We start from the raw sequence: 21,796 nt of genomic DNA, 5'->3' as shown, positions 1-21,796 counted from the left end.
ACTGTGCCTACAAAAAGCAAAAGATACTCTAACTTTTATTTTGGTTTATTTCTTAAATATGTTATATAAATATGTTAACATTATTTCATTTTCCATGACTTAAAATTAACTTTTCTACATGTCAAAAATATACTCAGTTTCTCTGTCATGATTTCTGTACATTTGACAAATGGAGTAGGAAGTATTCTTTCTGAGTTTTGAGGAATTTCTGGAGCAGTCCGTCTTAAGCAATCAAGACTGTGGAAGAAAAGCTGTCAACTCAACTATTTGCTTTTTTTAACCAATAAAATTGCCTCATCAGCACAGGGACTCTGTAAAATACTTGATATAAATATGAAGCTTAGCAGTTTTGTTATTCTTGAATCAAGCTAGCATATTCAATGCTGAAAGAAATAACTAATATTAGCATAAATTTGCATGTTGTTCTTGATGAGTATAAGCTAGAACTGGGTTTAGCATAGTATTATGGATATGCCATAATGAAAAAAGTTTTTCTTCCACTGCTTAAGAATACTAGAAATCTCATTTCTAGTTTTAGTATATTTTTGCAGGATATTTACATGAATTTAATATTGAAAGTATTTATGCCTTGTCAATATCACATAAGAGATATTTACTTAGATGCAATAAAAACTGGTGAATGACATGTACTTTCCTGCATCTTTGTTGGTGGATAAGATTTTTAGAAGGGATTTTAATTAAGGTTTAAATAAGAAGAGCTGGGGACATGTGGAATGAGAAATAGAAGGCTCATCAAAATGTATGTGTGTATGTATTCTTATATTTGTGCGTGTCTATAGTAATGCTATCTGGAAACTAGTGCAATGAAAAACAAAACACAACAGGAGAGAACTGAGGCAAAGGTGGCTCAGAAAGGTCTCTTTTGACCTTTAAACTCAGAAGTCACTGACATTTCTTCCTGGATATCACACTGACTCATCAAATTTAATGTCACACATTGAAGCCAGTGATGCCTTTTCTTCCTATTGCAAACTAGCTTCTCATCCTGTTTTCTTTATTTAATACATCACACAAGCTGAAGTCCAGCCACCCTTACTGCCATACTGCTTACCAAATAATCACTGATATCATCTCTCCTTTCTGTTCACCTTTTAACAGTCTTATTATTTATATTGCTAATCATTTTCTTACAACTGTTGGAAGCCTACAGTTAAGATGGGGGTGGATATATATACTAATGACTTATTTGTTTATTAGGTCTATAATGCCAAGGACGAGTTCAGTATAACAAACCAGTGAAATGATTCTGCTTCTCTTCCGACTCACTCCTTAAAATGTGTATTGAACAAAAGTGAAGTAGAAAAGTTGTATTAACATTGTTTTTTTTCATAACTTAAAATTTACTTTTCTAATTATTAATAATTTATCTAGTGTCTCAGTGTTAATAATTGGGTTCATCAGCAAAACCTTGTAAATTTTGGGTAGAGACCACAAAAAGGTAGTAGCTGTGCATGAAGATTACCTGATAGTTTATCTGTTAAGAATGCTTATGGATGTAAGCAATGAAAATCTAACTAACAGTAGCTCAGAGAAATAGAGATTTATGTCCTCACGTCACATGGAGTCTGGAGGTTGGCAGCCCATAACTCTGTGATGCCATCAGCAACCCTGCTTTTCTGCATTCCTAAGAATGGTAGATTCTTAGATTGTTGCTTTTACCCTCGTGTTTTTCTCATCATGCCTCCATCTGCCATCGTATCTCATCTGCCATCCAGACAGGAACAAGGGAAAAGGACTAATGAGGAAAAAGGCAAGGAGATATGTCAGCCGATTCTCCTTTTCTGTCAGGGTAGCAGTGTCTTTCCCAAAGGCCCCATGTAGCAGATTTCTGACTATGTCTCTATGGCCAGAACTCTGTCTGGCACACATTCATTTTAAACTGGAAGGTTGTTAGGGAAAAGGAAGGTGTGGGGGTGTGAAACAACCTGCCAAAAGTGTCACAATTGTGGCCAGTTCATTTCACAGTTTGAGATGACATGGACCATGAAGACCTTTGTCACCTTCAGAATGCAGCAAAGCATGAGAGAAGATTAGAAGGCCGCTGAGAAAGAGAAACAAGTTTTAGTATTACAGAAGTATTCAACAACCAACCATATAAGATCTGAAAGGGATGATTTTTCAGTTCTGTGTTTGATTAAATACTCAACTGTACAAGAGCCATGGCTACACGGCAGGGATTGGGGGAAAAAAAACACAAAAACTTGGAAATAGCAGTTGTCAACAATGTGATCTAGCAGCCAAAAAGCTAGTTTTCTCATGCCCTCTATTAATTGAAGTGAAAATATTTTGACTCTAATTTTGAATATACCATTTTGTTCTGATGGATATTTTTATCTCCAGAATGTTTTGCTCACATATTTAGGAATCCAAATTTGAATCAGAATTATTATAATATTGAATAACTTTTATTGGGAAAGTGTTTTTATGTGGGTACTCTATTAAATCAGCTTAATTTTTAAATTAATTTTATATGAAGTAGAAGTAAATTACTTCTAAGTATTTCTATTTTGATTTTTAATTTATTAAAATTATTTTTATTAATTTTCAGAAACTTTTTGTGTTATTTGTTTTTATCTTAAAGTCTATGGATTTCAGCTCCTGCCAGAGTTTTTTTTTTTTTCTTCTACAGTTATCATATCTACCAGGTCTCATTCACCTAGATCAGATATTACAGATCTGGTTATTGTCAAGATTTGCTTCTTCCATCATTATTTTGTTAGTTACAGATTTTATTCTGTGGTTTTAGCCTTCTACAATGTTATTTGGTGTTGTTTCTACCAGGTCTAATTTTTCCTGGGTCAGATTTTTTGTATTCTATGAAATCAAAAGGAAAAGGCTCTTAAGTCAGTCTTAAATCTAAAGCATATTTCACAATGTGTGGCATTAGCCATTTTCAGTTTTATTTTATGCTAATTTCTCCTACTATTCATTCAGTACATAGGGTTTGAGTTTGTATCATATACCGGGCACTGTACTAGCCACTGGTGATACATTTTGTGATCAGAGCTTACTGTCTACCTGGGGAGACAAAGAAAATAAAATGCTTGTAATAACAAAATTTCAAGTAGTGTTAAATGTCAGGGGAAAAAATGAAGTGATTCAGGGAGACTTCTCTAAGGAGAAGCAATTTATGCAAAAACCTTAATATGGTCTTTACTCACATAGTTTTATGGTTCACTCAGGTGGAGGGAGTGAAACATACAAAGGGCATGAGTTGAAAACATGCTTGGTGTATTTGGAGAACAGCAAGAAAGGTAGCCTTAAGCAGAGTGTGCTAGCAGAAGAATTGTAGGAAATAAAGTTGAACAGGTTGGCAGGGGCAGAAAAGAAGGGGCCACAGATAGGACTTCACCATTATTCAGTTGTGGCAAGAAGCCTTTGGTAGGTTTTGAAGGCTGTTCTGTCTGTTGCATGGATAATAACTTTAGGAAGACAAGAATAAGAGCAGGGAGATCAATTAAGGGTCTTGCAAGTGAACAATCACAGTGGCTCAGTGGGGATGATAAGTAATATTTATTATCAATTGGATAAAAGCTCAATAGCAGGTATTTATCTCTTGAATAAAAAGGTATTTACGAGGAAACTCATAGGATCTAGGTACACAGTAGCTTCAAAACATCTTGGAGATCAAATAATACCATATAACTAACCTGACTTCAATAAAATTATTGTATTTAGAGCAAGGGAATGATAACCCTATCCTTCTTAAAATTAGATCACCATGAATATTGAATAGTGTATTACATTTATGCCTTCGCATTTGAGCAACATATGAATAAACGAGGGAACCAGGGACACATTCAAAGGAACGTGGTGAAGATGCTGAAGGCCTCTGAGAGTCAGTAGAGCCATAGGGAGGCAGTGTGCGTAATGGTTAGGAGCACAGGCTGTGGGGCCAGACTTGCTGTTAGAAGTCTATGACTTACTGTTACTAGCTGTGTGACCTTGAGCAGGCTTACTTCTGGGTTCTTCAGTTTCCACAGAATGGTTCAAGAATATGAAGATTTGCTCTGGAAAATCATTTTCCTTCCTTTTAATTAAGACTTAGTTCAGGGATCGTATTCTCTGTTAAACCTTTTTTACCCAACTGCTCCACTCTCCAGAATCCTTCCACCCTCAAATTTCTGGCTAAGTTAGGTAACTCAGACTGTGGCTGATAAAATTGTTTCTTACTTTTCTGTTTCACACCCAGTTAGGGGCTGATTTGTGTCCCCTAAAATTCTTATGTTGAAGTCCTGACCCCCAAGTACCTCAGAATATGACTAAATTTGGAGACAGGGCCTTTCAATAGGTAACTAAAATGAGGTGATATGGGTGGGCCCTAGTCCAATATGACTGATGTCCTTATAAGAGGAAAAGATTAAGACACAGTCAAACACAGAAGAGATAACATGTGAACCTAAGGGAGAATATGGCCATTTACAAGCTAAGGAAAGAGACCTCAAATAAGACCGATGCTGCTCACACACGATCTTGGACTTCCAGCCTCCAGAACTATGAGGAAATTTATATTGTTTAAGCCACTCAATCTGTGGGACTTTGTTATGGCAACCCTAGCTAATACACACCTTGTGAACTCCATAAGGGGAGAGATTATATCTTTAATTTCATTTAAAGCTTTTGTTTAAGGAGTGAGAATGAAACCGATATTTACTAGGCAGATACCATATGTCAGGCACTGTATTAGGTACTTTCCACATATTACCTGACTTAATTTTTCCAATGATACTAGGAAATATAGATATTATTACAACCATTTTATAGATAAGGAAACTGAGGCTAAGACAATAAATAACTTAATCAGATGTGTCTTAACTTCAGAAGGATCCCAGAATATCATCTGTGTCACACAGTAATATAATTATCTTTAGAAAAATAAAAATATTTCTAAAAAATCAAAACTTTTTAAAAAAGGTATGTAAAGGTTTTTTAAAGGTTTTGTTTGTTTGTTTGTTTGTTTGTTTTGAGGCAGAGTCTCACTCTGTCACCCAGGCTGGAGTGCAGTGGTGTGATCTCATTGCAACCTCCACCTCCCACATTCAATCGATTCTCGTGCCTCAGCCTCCCGAGTAGCTGGGCTTACAGGCATGTGCCACCACACCTGCCTAATTTTTCTATTTTTAGTAGAGCCGGGTTTTCGCCATGTTGGCCAGGCTGGTCTTGAACTCCTGGCCTCAAGCAATTCACCCACCTCGGCCTCCTAAAGTGCTGGGATTACAGGTGTGAGCCACCGCACTCATTCTAAAGCTCTTTTGAATTGTATTTATTATTTTTCTATTCCAGAAGAACTGGGTCCATAGGGTAGAATATTTGTTGTGCTTTGATTCACAGAAGAAAGAACTCTGCAGTAATTGGAGCTGCTGAAAATGGAGTGGATTCTGTTGCTGCAACCACTAAAACTAGTGCTAGACAATGCCTTTATTGGGATTGATACTTTGGGAATTCATGCTTTAGGTAGAAGGTTGTACTGGATGACCATTGCATTCTCTACAAACTCTTAATCAGATTAACACACTTTATTATGTGTCTGAATGGAATTATACTTCAGTAAGATATGATCAGTCTGACTTGTGGTATATATCTGCATATGTGAATTATTGAGTTACATGTCTTTATTTCAAACCTATGGTTAGAAAAACAATTATTTATTAAAAAGAAGTCACAAACCTCTACCAAAACCTCACACTTTATTCAAAAATTAACTCAAAATGGACCACAGATTTAAACTTCTAGGAAAAAAATAGAGCAAATCCTTGGGATTTGGGTTAGGCGAAGAGTTAGGCTTGACATCAAAATTGTAACCCATTAAAGGAAAAATTGATAAACTGGACTTCTTCAGAATTAAAAGTTTTTGCTCTGTGAAAGACTCTAGTAAGAGGAAGAGAACATAGGTTACATACTGGGAGAAAATATTTACAAACCAGGTTATCTGACAAAAGACTAGTATCTAGAATATAAAAAGAATGCACAAAACTCAACAGTAAAAAAATAATTTAATTAGAAAGTGAGCAAAACACCTGAAGAAGATATACAGATGGCAAATAAGACAATGAAAAGTTGTTCAGCATTATTAGCCATTAAAGGAATGCATGTAAAACCACAATGGGTTGGGCGTGGTGGCTCATGCCTGTAATCCCAGCACTTTGGGAGGCCGAGGCGGGCGGATACGAGGTCAGGAGTACAAGACTAGCCTGACCAACATGGTGTAACCCCGTCTCTACTAAAAATACAAAAATTATCCGGGCGTTGTGGCGGGTGCCTGTAGTCCCAGCTACTTGGGAGACTGAGGCAGGAGAATCGCTTGAACCCAGGAGGCGGAGGTTGCAGTGAGCCAAGATTGTACCACTGCACTCCAGCCTGGGCGACGGAGCGAGACTCCATCTCAAAAAAGAAAAAAAAAATCAACAATGAAATATCATTACACACTTACCAGAACAGTTTATCAGAATAGTTAAAAACAAATAGTGGCATCACCAAATGCTGTTGAGGATGTAAGGAAATTGCTCTCATGCATTGCTAGTGGAAATGTAACATGGTACAACCACTCTGAAAAGAGTTTTACAGTTTCTTATGAAACTAAACATGCTACTGTTGTATGACCTAGCAATTGCACTCTTGATGTATTTTCCTAGAGAAATGAAAGGTTTACACAAAAAATTAGACACAAATGTTTATAAAAGCTTTATTTGTAAGAGCCACAAACTGGAACAATAGCCACAAGTAGAAACAACCCTTGATGTCCTTTGGTGCTTGAATGGTTAAGTAAACCATTGTATATCCATATGATGGAGTACTATTCAGCCATAAAAGTAAATGACCCATTGATACAGCACCTTGGATGATTCTTGAGAAAATTATGCTAAGTGAGAAAAGCCAATCCCAGAAGGTTACAAAAGGTAACAAAGTGTTATATAAATTGTTCAACTTGTTATGTATGTGATTCTACTCATAAAACACTCTTAAAATGACAAAATTATAGAAATGGGGGACAGATTAGTGGCTCTCAGGGGTGAGGGATTAGGCAGAGGGATGGTGAGGGGAGGACAGATGTGGCTATAAAATGGCATCATGAGAGATCTTTGTGCTGATGGGAACACTCTTTACCTTGACAGTATCAGTGTCATTGTCCTGCTTGGGATATTATACTATGGTTTTACAAGATCTTCCCACTGGGGGAAACTGGGTAAAGGGTACAGAGGATCCCTCTGTATTATTTCTTGAAATTGCATATTAGTTAACAATTACCTCAAAAGTTTAGTTTTGAAAATCATAATGTATGTCCCTTTCATTTTACTGAAATAAATATTCAGAGCACTTAATAACACATTTTACAGTCCAGCTCATCTCTATGGTATGGTCACCCATGATAATATGAAAAGAACCTTTGAAAGTTGTATTTTCAGAAGCAAAAATACCAACAATACTAGGTTATTTGCCTAGTCTCACTTGGATTTTAATGAGCTTGAAAAATGCACCTGTTGTATTAGATGTAATTTTTCCTTCTTTTTTTTTCCAGCCTTTTTCTCATTGTTCTCGTCATATCAGACATTATGGCTTTGGTAAGGCATTACTGGGTAGTCCATATAAATTAGATTAAGAGTCCTGGGTTAATTTAATAAAGAGAAATATGAATGCATTTTGGTACGTGAAATCTTTAGATGTTGAGTTGTAAGTGCTGGCATAATTTACACAATAAATTATGTTCTTTTATATTAGTTATGCAGGATGTGTGCTCTTCTTCAGGTGTCAAAAGTCTTACTACTTGAATTTGTCATACCTCGTCTTCCATGTTGCTTTGTATCTGAAATGAACCTTCCAAAGAAAATTAGCAGAAAAAGCTAACTTTAAATTTAGATAATACATCATTTTTCTACTGAAATGTTGATTTTTAACCCTTCTCTCAGATTAAAAATGAAAGGAAAAGAGGGAGGGAAGGAAGGAAGGAAACAGGAAATACAGCTTTTCTGTTGGGAAGATGTTAATCAAGACGTAGCTGCAATAAATGAGTTCTGATGTATGTAGGTAGGCCTCTCTCATTAACAAAAAGAGGAACCTATTTTATGTCTACAACTTTGGGGAGTTCCCAAGACCACCCTCAGCTTTAGTAATTCACTAGAATTCACTGAAATCACTGAATGCTGTTATATTCAGTTACAGTTTATTCCAGTGCATAGGGCAGAGTCCAGGACACCAAATGCCAAGCTTCTGTTTCTCCCTGTGGAATCAGGACAGCATTACCCTCCCACTATTGATGTGTGACAGTACACATGGAGTATTGCCAACCAGGCTTACCTAAGCTTTGTTGTCCAGACTTTTTAGTGGGGCTTGATCACATACTGCCTACCTGGCTGACCTTTAATCCCTTCTGGGGATACAGCTGGTAATATGGCCCAAAGCCCTCATCATATATCACATTATTAGACTGTCCAGTGGCCAAGCCCTCAGGCAGAACCTTCTATGAGGCATGACATTCCATGACATTCCAAGGGCCCAGAAATTGCCTCCCAGTAGCTGAGAATGAACACCAGCGGTCTTTTTGGGTAAGGTTAATTTGTCACCATATAACATCCCATGCCAGAAGTAACTAGGAATACTAATAAGGGTAGCTTCCCAAATCAGATTCCTAGTCACTCGGTTTAGATGAGAGTACTTTTGTGTGGTGGTGAACCATTATTCATTGTATTTCTGAAACTGACCACACATAATGTGAGAGCAAATCAGCTTTCAGTTTTGTGCAAAGTGACAAACAGACATATTAATAGAAGAGGATTGAAATTCTGATTAATTTTGTATAAAAAAGATTGCATAAATTGACTTGAACAGCCATTTGTGATATAACTTCTGCTCATTTGATTGACATCTTCTCTTACCTCTCCATCCTTGTTTTCTCTACACCATCCTCCCTTTGACACTACCAAGCTCTCTCTGGACTCTTGATGTATATATAGGCTATTCCCTCTGCCAGAAACTTCTTTCTATCCAAACCTCCTTTCATCTGACTCCTACTTTTTACTTAGATTTCACCTTGCAATGGGAAGCCTTCCCTTCCATTCTAATCAGGGTATGAACCCCTTCCTCTGTTTCTATAATTGCCTATATTTTCCAATGATAACACTCCCTCCATCCCCCCCTTACACACACACACACACACACACACACACACACACCCCTGATAATTTGATGGAATTATTTACTACAGCCTATGCCTTGTGAGGAGGAGTTTATCTCCAGCACCTAAGACAGTGATCGGCACACAGTAGGTAGTCAGTACAGTAAATATTTGTTGGTAGATGGATGACGTGGCTTCTTTCCACTGACATCTTTAGTATTATCTAGTTTTTTTTATTGATGTTGGCTTGTTCTTCTTTATTTCTAATTATTCAGAAATGTCACTTTTGTGTTCATTTGATTGATAATTCTATTTCTGGATTTTAGACTACTGCTAATTCTAATCCAAGCAAAAGTTTCAGTAAATGACATATTCTTGTTGATTACAGTCAGATAGTGATTCTTAGAGTCAGAAATCTGAAACATACAGTCCTAAAATAGCTTTGTTTTTAGACTGAATCTAAATAGCTTTGTTTTTCATTAAGCCTTTTTTTTTTTTTACAGCATTTTTTCTTCTTGGTCAAGGATTATGGCAGCTGGCTTGATATTGGGACAAGGTATAGTATATATGGTCATGCATTGCTTAACAACAGGGATAAGTTCTGAGAAATATATTGTTAGGCAATTTCTTCACTGTGCAAACATCACAGAGTATATTCACACAAACCTAGATGGTGTAGCCTACAACACACCTAGGATATGGTACAGCCTATTGCTCCTAGACTATAAACCTGTACAGCATGTTATCATACTGAATACTGTAGGCAATTGTAACCCAATGGTAAGTATTTATGTATCTACACATAGAAAAGGTATAGTAAAAAATTCAGTGTAAAAGATTTTTTAACTGGTATACCTATCTAGGACACTTACCATGAATGGAGCTTGCAGGACTGGAAGTTGTTCTGGGTGAGTCAGTGAGTTATTACAGTAACCTTTTTTACTTTATAAGGTTCTTAACTTTTTGACTTTATAATAACACTTAGCTTAAACACACAAACACATTATATAGCTATACAAAAACCTTTTCTTTCTTTATATCCCTATTCTCTAAGCTCTTTTCTATTTTAAAATTAATATTTTAATTTAATATTTTAAAATCACTTTTTTTTACTTTTTAAACTTTTTTGATAAAAACTAAGATACACACACACACACATTCACCTAGGCCTACAGAGGGTCAGGATTTTTATTTCCACATCTTGTCCCACTGGAAGGTGTTCACAGGCAATAACATGCATGGAGCTGTCATCTATGACAACAGTGCTTTCTAGAATACCTCCTGAAGGACCTGCCTGAGGATATTTTACAGTTAAATTTATATATATATATATATATATATATATATATATATATATATATATATGGAAAAGGAGTACAGTCTAAAAAACGATGAAAAATATGGTATAGTAAATGTAGATACTGGTAACAGTTGTTTATTGTCATTATCAGATATTATGTACTGTACATAATTGTGTGTGCCAGACTTTTATAGGACTGGCAGTGCAGTAGGTTTGTTCACACCAGCATCACCACAAACAAGCGAGAGTAATGCTTTGTGCTGCAAAGACACTGCGCTATCACTAGGTCTGTTATCATCTTATGGGACCACCATGTATATGCAGTCCATTGTTGACTAAAACATCATTATGTGGTGCATGACTACACTCACGCAGAAGTTCTTAATAGTGCAGTAAAAAAAAATTAAAACTTAGTATCTTAGTATAGAAGGTGCCCATATGATTTTGAGGTAAGCGCAGCAATTAGCAATTATTTTAAGCCCCTGGAAATGAGACATCTTTCCAATTCTTGGCATTAGCACATTAGCAAATGTTTACATGGAATGCTGTGGGGAGGATGATAGATGTTAAGTCTAGAGAGAACTAAAGGGCAGCAGAAGATGCAAGATAAACTGCTTGAATCCGCGGTTTCAAAGTTGATCATTCCAGAGTCCTAGTGTGTTTTCTTAATCTCTCATCTCTGTTTAGAAAAATGAGGTTGTTCCGGTTGCAGTATGAATTTTATATGGTGGTTTAAATTTCATGTGATCATTATCTGCCTCTTAGAATCTTTAATATGGTAACCTTTTAACATGTGATAACTATTTAAAGTGTAATTTGAGGTCAGGAACAGTGGCCCACGCCTGTAATCCTAGCACTTTGGGAGGCCGAGGTGGGAGGACTGCTTGAGCCCAGGAGTTTGAGACCAGCCTGGGAAACATAGTGAGACCCTGTTTCTACAAAAAGCAAAAAAAAAATTACCCGAGTGCAGTGGCCCATGCCTGTAGTCTCAGCTACTCAGGAGGCTAAGGCAGAAAAAGTGCTTGAGCCTGGGAGGTCAAAAGAGTTTAGTGAGCCATGACTGGGCCACTGCACTCCAGCCTGGGCCACAGAGTGATATCCCATATCAAAAAAAAATTAATTAATTAGTTAATTAAAAATAAAGTATAATCTGAACAAAAAGTCAGGTTCCTTTTTATTGTGATTTAAATTTCAATGATTGCCATAACCTGTTAAATTTCTTTTCTTTGAGAAGAAGAAAGCAAAATTGACCCTTTTGCCTTTTCTTCTCCAAATGCATTCTGAGACAGAATACATTTTTGTATACTGATTTTATTTCATTTAGTCAATATTCATTCATCACTTTGTGTTGCCAGGAATTGTATGGGTTTGCAGGAGACACCATGTGTTAAACATCCTCTTCCCTCTGTTGATACCTCTTAGGCAACTCCTGGCATGTACTGCCTGGTTATTTATGTACATATCTGCCTCTCCCAATAGACTGTGGATGCTCTCAGATCCAGGATTGGATTTGAATCTCTTACATGCCATACGTGCTTGGTACGTAAAAGGTACTCCATAGAAAATTGATTTGGTTTTCATTTGTCTCTTATACTTGAAAGTTTAGGGAAAGTTTAGATATCCCCTTCTGCTTCCCAGCCCTCTCATTCTAAAGTGTCCAGGCGGATAGTGGCCAGAGCATGGGCTTTAAACCAGAGCGCCTGGGTTTGAATCTCATTTCTGCCACTTTTGAGCTGTGAAACCTTTGCTAAGTGACTTAATCTCTCTAAGCCCCCCGTTTCTCTTGTAGTCATTTTGAATGAATTAATTTATATAAAGCATTTAAGTATTTAGCATAGTGCCTGGCATCTAATAAGCTTCAGTGAATGTCAGCAATTGTTACTGTTGTCATTCTGTAATTCTGTTTTTTTGTCCTTTATAGTGCTTCTTGCATTTGGCATACCTTTCTTTACCATTTGATTATTTTCATTTTAGACATTGGTCAGAATTTTGTTTCAAAAATATTCTGGTAAAATACAGTATTTTGTTTATGAGACTTTTTCTTTTATTTTTAATTGTGGTAAACTACACATAATGAAATTTGTCATCATAACAATTTTTAAGTGTACAGTTCAATGGTATTAAGTATACATTCACATGGTTGTGCAACTATTACCACACACCATCTGTCTCCAGAACTCTTTCCATCTTGAGAAACAAACTCTGAATGCATTAATCAGTCACACCCCATTCTCCCGCTCATCAGCCCCTGGCAACCACCATTCTACCTTTGTTTCTATGAATTTGATGACTCTGGGTATCTCATATAAATGAAATCATACAGTATTTGTCTTTCTTGCAACTGACTTATTTCACTTGGTGTAATATCGTCAAGGTTCATGTATATTGTAGCATGTGTCAGAATTTTGTTCCTTTTAAAGGCTGAATGATAGTTCATTGTACGTATATATGCATATGCCATATTGTTCACCTGTTCATCTGTCAATGGATACTAGAGTTGTTTCCACCTTTGTTTATTGTAAATAATGCTGCTGTGAACTTGGGAGTGAGACTGTTTTGATGAGAGAAATTAAATTGGTTTGACTCTAAACAGGTGCCAAGGAATGAAGAAGATGCAGTTTTCATAGGAAGATGTGCATCATTAGTTTATGAACAGGCATTCATTTGTATTGCACTAAGAATTTTAGATTTTCTTTAATTAGCTTGAGGTTTATCTTTACCTGGCGTGTTTTTTCTTCAAAGTAAAAATTGTTTACTCTTATTACCAGTAATAACATGTATAAAACATAAAGCACTTTTTCATATCCATGATCTCAATTCAATCCAGCAAATATTTATTGAGCACCAGCTGTATGCTAGGAGAGTTGCTGGGGATGAGAAACTCACAGTTCTGGGCTTTCAGGAAGCATAAGGCTGGAGGAGGAAGCAGATCCGTGAGCAGGCCATATGGTGCAGTGTGAGAAATTTTAGAGTAGTCTCTCTTGTACTGTGGGGACACTTAGGGTGTCTCTCTGAGTCTTGTAGCTTAAGGAAGGCTTTTCAGAACAGGAGCTGTCTGAACACTGCAAGTGTGGGGCTTACAAGAGTACATTGGGTCACAAGAACTAGGGAGAATGTGTAGAGTGAGAGAAGGTGAAGAGCAGAGAACAAGAAGTGTGGAAACAAGGCTGAAAGAAGTGGCCAGAAGGCAGGAGAAAATCTAGAGAGAGCAGTATTGTGAAAATCAAGCGAGCATTTCAGGCAGGAGAGAGGTCATGCAGTCTCAGATATGACAGAGTGTAAGTGAAAACATAAAGGTGTGCCTTGGTTTAAGTGGCAGAGGACGTTGTTGAGCTTGGCTGGAGAAGTTTCAGGGGTAGGATCTGGTGCTAGATTGCTGTGCTGAATCAGATCCACCAATTTCCAGGTGAGGACTGCAGACCAAAGATAAACATTTTTCTTTTTTCTACCAAGACCCCAATAAAAATAAACAAACTTAGCAAAATGAAAAGAGTGGGAGAAGGACTATCAGCAAATTTGAGTTCAACAAATTTCTAGAAGATAGATAACCAGAGGGAGGAAACAGCAGCTGAGAAACTACAGACAGGTATGGCAAAGGGAAAGGAGGTCCAGGGACCTCAGACTCAGTGAGACAGTAATGTGGAAGGAGGAGTGAGGAAGGGAAGCAGGAGATTAATTGGATATCTGCCTACCAAATGATGATATCAACAGGCTCTCCATAGCCCGTCTCCTTCCTTCATCCCCATGGAGAAAGTGCTACAGGCATTTTATTCCAAGTAGAAAACCAGAAGACACCTCTAAAGAGACAAAAAAACAAACAAACAAACAAAGACCTGGGAGGAATTTCATTGCTATGATATATGTGCCTCCACTTTAGTAAGGCTGTTCTCCATTCTAGCATGTGTAGCCTCCTCCTAACAAAGGACAGAGACAGGCATCCCTCCCGCTCATCCTAAAACACGACACAGCAATTCTTATTACATGCATAGAACTTACTGGTGGCCTTCCTATTCGTGAGTGAGACCTAGAGGGAAAAGAAACTTTCTTAAAAAGTGAAATACACACTACCTCTGACCCAGCAATTCCATGCCTAGGTACCCAAGAGAAGGCAAAACATACGTATGCTGAAAGACTTGTACAGGAATTTTCATAGCAGCTGTATTCATAAGAACCAAAATCTTGAAACAACCCAAATGTTCATCAGCACATGAATGGGTAAACAAATTGTGCTATTGCCATACAATGGGATATTACTTACCTATAAAAAGAAATGAGTAAGTGATGAACTCAACTACATGGATGACTATCAGATACTTTATAGAGTTAAAGAAACCAGATATGTAAGAGTATATAGTGTACTCCATTTATATAAAATTCTAGAGCAGGCAAAACTATAGTCACAGAAAGTTGACCACTGATTGTTTGGGGCTGGCAGTTGGGGTATGATTGACCACAAAAGGGCCTGTAGGAACTTTTAGGGTGACAGAAATGTTCTATATATTGAAGTTGTTTTTAGTTACATGGATGTAGCATTTGTCAATAATCGGCTAACTGGACATTTAAAATGGTTCCATTTTCTCACATGTAAATTATACCTCAAAGTTGATTCATAAGGAAAAATAGAAAAACTAAAAGTTGAAATGAGTGGAGCCTAGTATGCATAGATTAAATTCTGGTTAGTAGGAGGGACTTTGTTTCAAATGGGTGCATGCATAAACAACAACATAAAGGTAATAAGTCATATTAGGGGGGTAACCACCAGAAGATCTAAAAAGAAAAGTAGTTAGAGTGGTTGCTGTAAAAAGTGAATAAGAAGGAATGAAAGATTGTTGCTTTTCATTATAAATCTTTCTCCATTATTTTGCTTTTCTAGTACTTGCATGTATGACTGATAAAAGCTAAAGAGAAAAATGCATAAGTAGAATTGGAGGTCAGGAAGTAGAGTTCTAAGTACAGACCACTCTTTCAAGTTTAATTAGAAAGGGGAGGAGAAACAAAGTAGTATTTGCATGGGAATACTCTCACACCTCCCTTTGAGGGAGATTATATTTTCATTTATTTTACTAATGAGCATGAGGAATATTATAATTAGAAGGAGTGAATGTCCCTAGTTAAATCAGTTTAATTACTCTCTGTCAAAGAAGGATTTTGAAGGCATTATGTGGGGCCCAAATGGAGTTAACTCATTCCCAGAGCAGAGTAGAGGCAGAGAGCCTCCCACAAGGTCACAGCAAGGCTGTGCATTGCTACACAGAGTCCACATACCCAACAGTTGTTTATCTGAGATCGGAGTCCTGAAAGACGTGATAAAGGCTGTTCAGAGACCACAGAGTCCTCTCTATTAGATAAAAGGCAAAGTAAGATAGAAGCTCAAACTTGAGTAGGAGGCCCAGGATGTCAGTCAAAGGATTGCCCCTGGTCACACATCTACCAAAAATAACCAACACTTCTACTGTGCTACTCTATTTACATTATCTTCTACATTATTTCATGTGATTTTCCTCGTAACACTGTAAAGTAGATACTATCGTTCACAGTAGATAATTTTACCATCTCCATTTTACAGATGAGGACACTGTGGCCCTAAGGAGATTGGGACTTGCTCATGTCACAGAGTCGATCAGTGGTTGAGCTGATCTTAAAGGATGCACTTGTGAATGGGGAAGCTGCCATGGGGTGTGTAGGCTGCTCAGTCACTGCCTGTTTTGTGCATGCTGCCAAACTGCACAGTTGAAAAAGTGATTTGTTATTTATGTCAGAAGACAGAAACAAGTAGTAAATGTCACATTGGTAATTAAAAGGAAAGCCTTGTGACATGAAGACTATTGTTAGCAAGTTAAAAGCTATGGTTAAAGAAAGCCTGTGGGAGTATTAGGCTGCCAAAACTAAAGCTTTGAGTAAGACCCAAAAGGGCTTTTGCTAGGGCTACAGAGAATGGGGCAAAATCAGGGAAGTAGTGATGAAACGAGATACCCAGAAGCAGGCCCCTGAACAGAAATTTTCCTTGGCTGCAGCATCCCCTTTGCTTACCTTGATGCCTGGGACTGAAATAGAGGAGATTTCAGCCTTGGAATCCTGAATTCATTATCTTTTTCCTACTTACTAACATACTTAGTCTTTCATGCTTTCATTCAACAACCACTTACTGAGCAACAACATAAGCCTGTCTTTTTTTTATTTTTATTTTTTTTTGGAGACGGAGTCTCGCTCTGTCACCCAGGCTGGAGTGCAGTGGCGCGATCTCGGCTCACAAGCTCTGTCTCCCGGGTTCACACCATTCTCCTGCCTCAGCCTCCCGAGTAGCTGGGACTACAGGCGCCCACCACCTCGCCCGGCTAATTTTTTTGTATTTTTAGTAGAGACGGGGTTTCACCATCTTAGCCAGGATGGTCTCGATATTCTGACCTCGTGATCCGCCCGCCTCGGCCTCCCAAAGTGCTGGGATTACAGGCGTGAGCCACCACGCCCCGCCAAGCCTGTCTTTTTAATTATATTCATCCTGCCCCTTATTCAGTTTTTCTCAACTGAATAATCCATTCTCTTGTTAGTTCATCATGGGTTCCATTCTGTTGAGCACTCTTTTCCCTGTTTTGTTTCTGTCACCTTCAGTCTTTCATCTAAAACTTGATTGGCAGAGTATTCCCAGAACAACTTCTCTTTCCTTTCTCTACCTCTGTAATAATGCACTGTTTTATAAAAAAGTTTTTAAAAAAAGGAAAGGAGGGGAGATAGGAAAGAGAAAGAGAAAGGAAGGAAGGAAGGCATGCAAAGGAAAGAAGGAATAAAGGAGGACAAAGGGAGGGAGAGAGAGAGAGAAAGAAAAAGAAAACGCCTTTTAGCCTTTTATTGTCCCCCTTCCTGCATCAGTATCAGCCTTTGGTCTATTCCGGAAGTCCCGTGTTTGTCCTTGTCCAGGAGGCTTTCCTTTATCCCTTCTGCAATCTTTAATGTTGCTTGTTTAAAGACTCACCATTTTTCTCTTGAAAATTCTGGGAAGTTTTTTTTTTTAGAAGTGTCAAGTTCAGCTGTTTTAAGTAATTTAATACAACCATGTTTCTCTTCTCTCCTCTCCCTCTGGGATCACCAGAAACTAATTGGGGGATTGTATTGTTTTGCCACAGAAAAACTTCTACCCAAACCTGGGAAAAGCAGGTTAAGTTAAACAGTGATTGGGAAAAGTTAAGGATTATTGAGAAAGGTATTAAACTGATGATAATGATATTACTAGAGTAGAATATCATTTATTGTATGCAGTGTATTAGGAATTGTACTTATGTTATCTCATTGAGTCTCATGAAATGATGTGAAGAAAATATTAACAATTTCTGTTTTACAGAGTAGAAACTGGTTCTGAAAGACTGATTGCACAATAATGTGGCATAGCTAGGTTTATTTTTTGCATTGTGTATGTGTTTAATAAATTGATCGTTTTTCAGAAAAAAATACATATTGAACACTCACCATACATAAAGCATTCCCAGACATTGTCAAGTACCCAGAGATGAATGGACTGCCAGCCTTAAGACTTGGTGATGCTCCATCTCTGGAGACAGATAGCTACTTCATCAGGAACTTAAGCATAAGGATGTATAACTGGTATGGGACATTCCAGTCCTGGAAGTGTATGACTCTTAACACATGGCCACTGCTTTCAGGGAGGTTATGGCCTAATATAGGTTTAAAGACATAATGATAATGATTATAGTATAAGGCAACATGTGGTTAAGGGTTATAAAAATACAGGAGGGAGGCTGCTTCACTTAAGCCTTCAGTGACAGGAAACATTATGCCAAGTCTGGCATTTGAACTGGGCCTTGAACAAAAGGTGTAATTTCTTTTTTTGTTTGTTTTATTATGCTTTAAGTTCTAGGGTACATGTGCACAACGTGCAGATTTGTTACATATGTATACATGTGCCATGTTGGTGTGCTGCACCCATTAGCTCATCATTTACATTAGGTATATCTCCTAATGCTATCCCTTCCCCCTCCCCCCACCCCATGACAGGCCTCAGTGTGTGATGTTTCCTACCCTGTGTCCAAGTGTTCTCATTGTTCAATTCCCACCTATGAGTGAGAACATGCGGTGTTTGGTTTTCTGTCCTCACAATAGTTTGCTCAGAATGATGGTTTCCAGCTTCATCCATGTCCCTGCAAAGTACACGAACTCATCCTTTTGTATGGCTGCATAGTATTCCATGGTGTATATGTGCCACATTTTCATATGTCTGTCTAAAGTAGTCTTCCCAGACCTGTAAGTCCCCTAATTGAAATTATACCTTTTGGCACCTTTTGTAATTTCAATTAGGGGACTTACAGGTTTGGGAAGACTATTTTAGACAGACAGATGGACATGAGTAAAGCCATAGAGGTAAAAAGCCCAATGCATATGTGCATGATATGTGATAAATAATTTGGATTTCAGAAACCATAGATTTTGGCTAAAATCTATAAAACCATAGATTTTGGATAAAATCTATAAAACCATAGATTTTGGCTAAAATCTATAAAACCATAGATTTTGGCTAAAATCTATAAAACCATAGATTTTGGCTAAAATCTATAAAACCATAGATTTTGGCTAAAATCTATAAAACCATAGATTTTGGCTAAAATCTATAAAACCATAGATTTTGGCTAAAATCTATAAAACCATAGATTTTGGCTAAAATCTATAAAACCATAGATTTTGGATAAAATCTATAAAACCATAGATTTTGGATAAAGAAATTTCTAGAAAATAGCCTTTGGGAGGCTTAAGTTTTTTATTTTGATATGGTCCATTTTATTTTACATTTATTACCTGTGTTTGCTTGACACATTTTTGTTATTTTTGTTTTCCCTTCCTCTCATGAGTGTTGATGCTCAGTACATTTTAAAAGAGCTAGTGCAAGCTTGCATTTAACGTCTATCATGATGTTCCTCTTGATATTTGTGTGGTACCTCCAGCCTTATCCTTAACATTCCTTTACACAGCCCTCATGGAATAAACAGCACAAAACAGCAACGACAACAGCAAAAAAAAAAAAAAAAAAAAAAAAAAAAAAGCAGAATACAAAAGCATAAAACAAATAATGAGCATCATTCAAACCAAGGGAAACAGAATGACATATCAGCACTTATAGGCAGAGAATGCATTTATAACCACCACCACCCGGTACTAGCCATGAGAAAAGGGTGTTAACTTTATGTTTCAATGATTTATGTATACATATTAAAATATTATATTATTAATGCAATTCAGGGTAAAATATGCTATAGGAATATTTCGTGATAATATTTTTTATAATGGGAGCTGCCCTGAATATACAGTGATCCTATGCCCTGATTTCCCGGAGACTTCCTGATTTATGCCTGGTGGCCTGCTATAATCATTACACCCCCATCTATACAACATTAAAAATCCAAAGTGGATAAGAAGAAGACAAAGGCACAGCCAGTTAATAAGTTATGTTAAACCTTAGTTTATCTCATTCTCAGTATTTCATCATTGGGGATCTAACCCCCATAGGTTAAACGGGATGCTTGCTCTGAGAAACTTCTCAAAGGCAGGTATAAGAAACCTTAGATCTGTCTTCATCAGGCTGATGGCACTGAACAAATCTACATAAATTTCCCACATATTCTCTTAGTCATTCCTGATGAAATATCTCCTTGCTCTGTCTTCTTTGTCTCTTATTATGTCATCTAAAAGGTGCCCACTTTAAGAGAGGAAGTTGATTGCAGGTGGGGGGAGCAGGGTCAGGATGGAGAGGCCAAAATGAAATCTGAGTTGGTGAAGTTAGGCTTTCTAAATGGAATTGCCCCTGATTGATGCTGCAATGTGATGTTTTTCTTATTGCTAAGTTAGAATTCTAAGGTCTTTCCTTTGTATCCTCTATAGCGGTGATGTCATATAGTGCCTCTGTGAACCATGTGGTGCTGGTCTAATGGGCAGGAGTGGTTCATGCATCTTCATAAACATCTAGTTTATTGCGAGGAAAAGGCTTGGATAATGGTGGGGAAGTAGGGGGAAATGTACGTCAAGATTCAAAACTAAAGCACCATACGATAGGGTTCACATGTCAAAACTTCATTATTGTACTTTTTCTGCTTTCTGTTTGTGAGAATGTTGCATTTAAGTTTTGAGTTTCCAATTATTCTTGTGTGAAGGTACATTTGAAAAGCTGTGGTGTTTCTTGTCATGTCGCTGATATTATAAACTGACCGGCAGAGCTCCCTTCACAGGTGCCGGGGTTATTGGAATTGTGCTCCTGCACTGGTTCCCCTTCATGACGAATTTTATTCCTAAACTCCTTTGTGTTAATAGTATAATTAGCGATTTCAGCCATTCCATGCTTTTTATTCACGGGAATGGAATGTTGCCCTTTTGTCCTCACTATTTTATTGCATTTTTTTTTTTTTTTTTTTTTTTTTTTGAGACGGAGTCTCGCTCTGTCGCCCAGGCCGGAATGCGGACTGCAGTGGCACAATCTCGGCTCACTGCAAGCTCCTTTATTGCTTTTTTTTTTTGCATTTATTCCTGAAATGGCGGGAATCTGTCCCAGAATTTGAGAGAGGAGTGGGAGCTGACTGCCCCGTGAATGTAGTCTGGCATGTATCTGTAATGTTTATAGTGTTGTGGTGATTGCCATGGATTTTCAGAACACTTTTGAGAGATTTGTCACCTGTTATTAATAGTTGCAGGTTAATAAGTATAGTTTCTTAAATAATAAAGATTGTATTATTAGGGCATTAGATAGTATATCTGTTTATAGGCATAGTACTCTGTGTTTCAAATGCATCTTCAGAGCAGATTTTACCAAACTGAAATTGAGACTCAGGAAGCATACACTACAGTCAGTGTATTCAGCTGAAACTACTGGTGTGAGTTCAGTGTTTCTCTTGAGAACCTGTGGCATCGGGTATGCTTTTTAACAGCCATGTGAAAAATATCCTGCCCAGGCCATAAAACTGTTCAGCTGACAGAGCTAATTTAGTATTTTCTTCTTTTGATCTTTACACTTTATCTTCATTTATAGCAGGTCATAAACTTTATAGAGTATTGCCTTTTATACGGCATACTGAAAGTACATTTTTAAAACTAGAGAAAAAAATTCCTTTGAGGTAATTTTCATAACTATAAAAACGTATATTCAGATTTGCGTCCTCAATGCATTTGTAGTGAGGTGAATAGAGTCAGGATCATCAGTTTGATTGAGCTGAGTTTGATTTGATGGCAGTCTTCATTTGGACTTTAATTGTTTCTCACATGCACGATTGTTATACCTTATTGAAATACAAATGACAACTAACGTGTTTATCATTTCTCTTTTGATATAATGAGAACTCAAAAAAAAGAGAGAACTCATGATTCTATTCAATAGT

At 37.3% G+C, this 21,796-nt stretch overlaps 1 protein-coding gene across 47 annotated transcripts in view; it reads left to right on the top strand.

Moving 5' to 3' along the window:
- The window catches only part of PIGN (phosphatidylinositol glycan anchor biosynthesis class N), a 169,442-nt gene that overhangs the window by 104,698 nt on the left and 42,948 nt on the right, over nt 1-21,796 (top strand). For 26 of the 47 annotated variants that reach the window (XM_047437461.1, XM_047437431.1, XM_047437439.1 and 23 more), the window contains 2 exons: nt 7,538-7,580; nt 9,634-9,686. In XM_047437461.1, the coding sequence (XP_047293417.1) occupies nt 7,538-7,580; nt 9,634-9,686 (96 nt within the window). Of the gene's footprint in view, nt 1-7,537; nt 7,581-9,633; nt 9,687-11,852; nt 11,970-21,796 lie in introns of all 47 variants that reach the window. The other 21 variants (XM_011525894.2, XM_011525891.2, XM_047437452.1 and 18 more) reach the window with 2 other exon arrangements.

This window comes from Homo sapiens, chromosome 18 (assembly GCF_000001405.40).
Source record: "Homo sapiens chromosome 18, GRCh38.p14 Primary Assembly".
In the NCBI taxonomy this organism is placed as follows: Eukaryota; Metazoa; Chordata; class Mammalia; order Primates; family Hominidae; genus Homo; species Homo sapiens.
The sequence above is the reverse complement of the archived record's forward strand: the minus strand, read 5'-3'. Positions and strand labels throughout refer to the sequence as shown.